The following is a 6,044-nucleotide window of genomic DNA, read 5'->3' as shown; positions in this document are numbered from 1 at the left end:
ATGTTTTATCGCTGGCTTTAGAGAAAAGGGGTTCTGATTTCTAAGACCCCACCTTAGGAAGAAGGATACTAGTTTCTATGGCTAGCCTTGGGGGACAATAAGAGGTGAGAGACAGGGAGGCAGGAGAAGGTCAGAGAGAAACTCTACTTCTGAGGCTGGTCCTGAGACCCTTATTTTTGGGCTCATTTTCATGAGCCCCAGCACTATACCCTCTTTCCAACTCTTCTGTACATATAAAATTATTCTCAAATACAAAAATTATTTGTATATCTATATCTGTCCTATCTTCATCCAAAGCCCATGTACCAAAGCAAGTGACACCTTCACTTTCCTAAATGTGGCAAATTCCAGGCATTCAAGAAATACACCTTGACCTTGTACACAGCACCCACCTTCCCATTCACACTCTTCGTGAATCACCACAGCATCAAGTTTTGGATCCTTCTTCCCTTTCTCCTACTCCTGATAGGATTGAGCTGAAAGCTCTAAAGTGGAGATCAGCAAACTATGTATGGTCTGTGGGCAAAATCTGGCCCACAGACTGTGTTTGTAAATAAAGTTTTATTGGGACATAGCCATGCTCATTCATTTACATATTGTCTATGGCTGCTTTCACACTATGATGGCAAAGTCAAGTAGCTGCAACAGAGACCAAATGGCCTGCAAAACCTGAAATATTTACTATCTGCCTTCCAGAAAGTTTGCAAACTCTTGCTCTAAACTTAGAATTCTCCCTCTTCAACCAGGCACTACTCTAGAAAGCTGAGTTCTATGGTTCTCTCTGGCTGCAGGCAAGAGAATGGTGCCCAAGGAAGATCTCTCTTTCTCTGTCTGTCATACACACATACATACAGCACTCTATAAAAATAACAAATCAGTTTGATTTGATCTTCCTGAGCACCCACTCAGCATCAAGGGAGGCTTCTGAGCTGCAGGACAGCTCCCACCAGTGGTTGGTCACAGTTTGTAAACACCTTAATGAAACACACTTTTAAGCATACCCCGTTGAGTAGCTGCTTCCTTGCAGGGGTGCCTGGTCTGACTCTGTCAGATGCTTCCTGTCTTTCATGCAGGTGTCTGTCAGCAACAGGGTTTTTCTTTGTCTTCCTATGAAGCTGCTTTGGTTTTTGTTTCTTTCAGTGCATTTTTCCAAAAAAAAAAAAAAAGTCTCCCCACCAGTCTTAGACTACTGTCTGAACAGAGACAAAACACAGAATCACTTTTGGCCAAAAGCTCCTTGCAGAAACGGTCTGGTTTGTTCTTTGAATCCCTTAAGTTTGTGTGATAACTGAAAAAGGGTAGGAGTACAGTAACAGTTTGTTTGTTGAATTAGATTGAATTTTGATGAATTATTGAATCATATTTCATGCCTAATGTAAGCCACGTCATGACCGCTTTTACCAGCTTCAGGGACAGATGTAGCTACTTCTATTTTCCCAATTAACACTTTAATCTCTGACTCCAGTCTCCATAGATTTGAAGGCTGGAGTGAAAATTTACAAGGTCTGTGACTTTAGGCTAGTTGCTTAACCTCTCTGTTTCTCCATTTTCTCATCTGTTAAACAGAAATGATGATTTCAATTTAACCTCTCTAAAACGAATTATAATAAACCTCTCTACAATGAATTATATAATTATATAATAACCTCTCTCAAACGAATTATATAAACCTCTCTAAAACAAATTATAATAAGGATTACATGTAGAGTAACTGTAATGTCAGGAAAATACTATTAATAAGAAAATCAATATTTTATCCGATACTCACCTCACTGCCCATGAAACATTTAAATAACTAGGGGTTTGTTCACTTCAGAGGGATTAGTCAGTCCTCATTCCAAATGCCAGGTGGATGGATGCAGACGGTCAGTGATCAATGCACTAGAAGGTATCAATTTTTTTTTTTTTTTTGAGGTGGAGTTTCACTCTTGTTGCCCAGGCTGGAGTACAATGACGTGATCTCAGCTCACCACAACCTCTGCCTCCCAGGTTCAAGCGATTCTCCTGCCTCAGCCTCCTGAGTAACTAGGATTACAGGCATGCACCACCACGCCCGGCTAATTTTTGTATTTTTAGTAGAGACGGGGTTTATCCTTGTTGGTCAGGCTGGTCTCGAACTCCCAACCTCAGGTGATCTGCCCACCTCAGCTTCCCAAAGTGCTGGGATTACAGGCGTGAGCCACCGCACCCAGCCAGGTATTGATTTTTAATGACCAGTTTCTTATAGCTTCTGAACAGTTTCACTGTTGAAAGCTGGTCTTTCCAGGAAGATGGGCTCTTGTCCACTGTTGCAATCATGTCCTTGCTGGTTTGGCTCCTTCTGAAGCTCCATCTTGAGGCCGTGCCTTAGCCCAGGAGGAGGAGGAGGACATTCTAGAAAGAGGCTGCATTTTGTACAGGCAAACACAAAGTGTCCGTGATGCAGAATGACCTGCAAGGAGTGTGAAACGGCTAGTGCCAAGTGCTAGACAACAAGGCAGTGGAGCTGGCATGTCTAAGGGCTCCACATGTCCTGATAAGAAAGCTGGACTTTATCCTGTAGAACACAGGTTGAAAATTGATGACCCATAGATTTATGGTTTTTAGTTTTCACTGTATTTCCAAAATATGTTTTTAATTTAGTAGATGTATTCGTCAGCTTAGGCTAAATTATCACAGGAAGAAATGGCCTGCAAATTTAGTGGCATTCAACATTGAGCTTTCTTTCTTGCTTGTGTTTACATCTGTTGTGGGCTGACTTCAGCCCTGAGACAAAGGCCAATGGAGGGAGCAAGCTCTGTCTGGGATGTGCATTTGAAGGAATCAAGAGCCAACCAAAGTGATATGAAGATTATTTTAGACTAAAAAATCTGAATAGACAGCAGTCGCAGAAAGAACCATTATTTAAACTTAAGCAGAACCTTCTAAAAATTCATCTGCCATTAAACTCCTCCCAGGGATTCTCCTGTTTGAAAAAGACAGGCCCTTAGCCCCAGGAAGTATGAATTCAGCTGCCATAAACCTCCACTACCGGGAAACTTCCAGCCAGCAAGAAAACAGACTGCCCATTCCATTCGCATCCAAAAAACCAATGGACTATTCCATTCTCTCCCATGAAAGCCCTAAAAACCCATTTCGGTTGAAACATATCAACCTTTTCTTGGGATTCTTCCTCAAGTTTTCCATTACTGGGAGCTCCACTTATGCATGTATGAAAATAAACCTTGTCTTTTCTCTTGTTAATCTGTCAGCCCTCTGATCATTTCAGACCTAAATTGGTAGAGGAAAATTTTACCTTTTGCAACAAAGGGAAAGAAGGGTGGGAGAACCATGCATTGGCTCTAGAACTTCTGCTTAGCAATGGCACACATCAATAACGCTACTCACATGTCATTGGCCATAGTATATCATGTGGCAAAGCCCACCACACTAGCCAATATTTACAACTTGACACTCATGGAAAAGCCAGAATTTCCAGATTTTCTTGAAGAAAAGAAATCAAAATACCAGCAACATGAGGCTCTGTCTCTATGCCGTAGCCATTAGCCGGGGCTGGGCTTCAGCCACGCCTTTTAGGCAATGTGTGCTTCTTCCTCTCCTGCCTCAGTCCCTGCCCTCCTGCTCACTCATCTGGGTTACCTGCCCAGCTCAGATAAAGCAAATGAGTTTGTATCCCTGGACCAAGGAGCAGCCACTGGAGAGAAAAAGGACAAGGTGTCTGGACCAGCTCTACTTTCCAGACAGTTTAATAGTCTGAACTTGAGAGAAAGCCCAGGGCACAGCCCTGACACTGGGTAGGAAGTTACTGCAATAATCCCTAATCCAGCATGAGAATGTACTTTACAAAAATAGGGACAAAACACTCTGTCCACTGTTCTTCACCTGTGGAATGGCCATCCAGAAGCAGCCTGCAAGAGCCCACAGAAGGATGCTCTGTCACAGTTGCCTTGAGGCAATTAAAGCATCCTGGAGTGGGCTGGGGGCAGGGCAGAGAAAAGAAAAGAAAAAAAAAACGTGACATTAGAAAGCTTGGGTTTAAATATTAGGTTGGTGCAAAAGTAATTGTAGTTTTTGCTGTTACCTTTATGGCAAAAACCACAATTACTTTTGCACCAACCCAGTATTCTCTCCCCGCCCCACCCCACCCCCCCTAAAACAAACACCTACATGCTTCCCAGTGTCATCCAAAAGAACACCAGGAGAGCTTTATTGGTGATATCAGCTTGCACACCAGGAAGAGAGAGTCTCCAGACCAGAGGTGCTCTCTTTTTGAAGAGGTGAAGGGCAGGTTGGGTTTGACGCCTCATGGGGTCCATATTATACAATAGAAGCATACATATTTAGCAGGTTTGGAGAAAAGCCACACAAATTTATGAGAGAGGGGTGGAGTGCAGGCACAAGGCATGAACAACATACATCCCTTGTTCACTTTGAAGCAGGGTTTCAGCATTAAATTGAGGTAGAATTTGGCTCTTTCCGTCGAAAGCTGAACTATAGGACACAAAGATAGCTTGTGTGTAGCCTCTGTCAGCGGGCTGAAACCGGCTTGAGGTCTTCAGTTGCTTATCAGGAAAGAATGTTTGTAAGGCCAGTCCTCTGTCCAGTCAGAGTTGCAATGGTCTAGGTTGTAAATCAGAGTTAGGAGGGATCTGATAACTCCTATTGCTAAGGAATTTAGCAAGAGTGTGGTTTTTCGTATAGCCGTAGGAATTTTGGAAATTGCCATGCCAGCAGTCCTAAACCCTGGACCCATAGGTCTTTTGTTTTCTTCACCTTGGAGCCCATTTTAGTGGACAAAGGGACATCTATTTTGGTCTCTCAGATCGCACCAGGGAACTGAAGCTGGACCCCAAATGGTGCCTCTCTCCAAAGCTAAAGGGGAGGGAGCCATTGTAACCAGTGTGGTTAAAGAGCGAGTTCCCTCTCTGATCCTCTCCCCCCACACCACCCCCACCTGCTGCCCCTTCCTCCTCTAACCCGATATTGACCTAAATTAAGTTTTCAAAGGCTCTGTGCTGATTTTTGCTGAAGAGCATTGAATTCAATAAAACATAATTATTGATTTAATTAAAATAGTTGCTCTGTAAGGAGCAAAGCTTTTTTAATAGCCAGTAAAGATGGAACAGCCCTCATTCATTTCCAGTGTAGCTTCTGAAACAAATCGGGCTGCTTTTTTTAATAGGCCAATTCCAAGTGCAGCTTTGAAATAGATCCTCTAGCCATTCATATGCAGTAATTCAACCAGCGAATTAGGTGCCTTTCTCATTGGCTGCCTTTCGGGATGGGGGAAGAGGAGGTGCTATGAGCCTAGAGCCCAGACTATGAGATGAATAATTCATAACCCTTCTTCTGGGGCTCCTCTGTGTTCCCTTCTGCTTCCTTGTACTTACATTTGAAAGGAAACTAGAGCTGGGGACTGTTACACTGTGGGGCTCCACATCCTCTCTTGATCTCTGTGCAGAGGAGCTGCCTGAGAGGCCCAGCAGCCTTCCAGGAACCTAGGACCCTGGATCCTCACCATCCAGAAGAATCAGACACCTCGAGGGCTGAACACTTAGCACTGCAAAGAAACAGGAACACAGAGACCAAAGGGAGAGTTTCCACTCCTGGGCACATGGAAGCAGGGCCTGTAAGGGTACAGCAAAGCAGGCCCCCTCTCCTGCTCCACCTGCCTTCCGCACCTGCCATTACAGGCTAGCCAGCCTCTGCATGGGCACACACGCACATCACTTCTATTAACAAAAGAGAATAATGATGCATCCTTGGAGAAGACATTAATGAGGTGATGACACATTTTTATTTAAATGCCTTATGTAGATTATTAATCCATTTCTCCTGGAAAGATAGACAGTGCCACATTATAAATGTGAGACAAGCCAGTGTATATCTGAAGGCACACATGGACGCACGCACATGCACACACACATGCCCACACAGACATCGTTTCCCCAGGTCCTGATGAGGCTCTTCAGTGCCAACTGCAGCCCTGAGACAGAAGCTAAAGCCGTCATTTCTTACAGCCTGAATGTTCATCTCAAAATCTCTGTTAAGTCTGGGCCTTATTA

Source organism: Homo sapiens, chromosome 15 (genome assembly GCF_000001405.40).
Source record: "Homo sapiens chromosome 15, GRCh38.p14 Primary Assembly".
NCBI classification, from domain to species: Eukaryota; Metazoa; Chordata; class Mammalia; order Primates; family Hominidae; genus Homo; species Homo sapiens.
The sequence above is the reverse complement of the archived record's forward strand: the minus strand, read 5'-3'. Positions refer to the sequence as shown.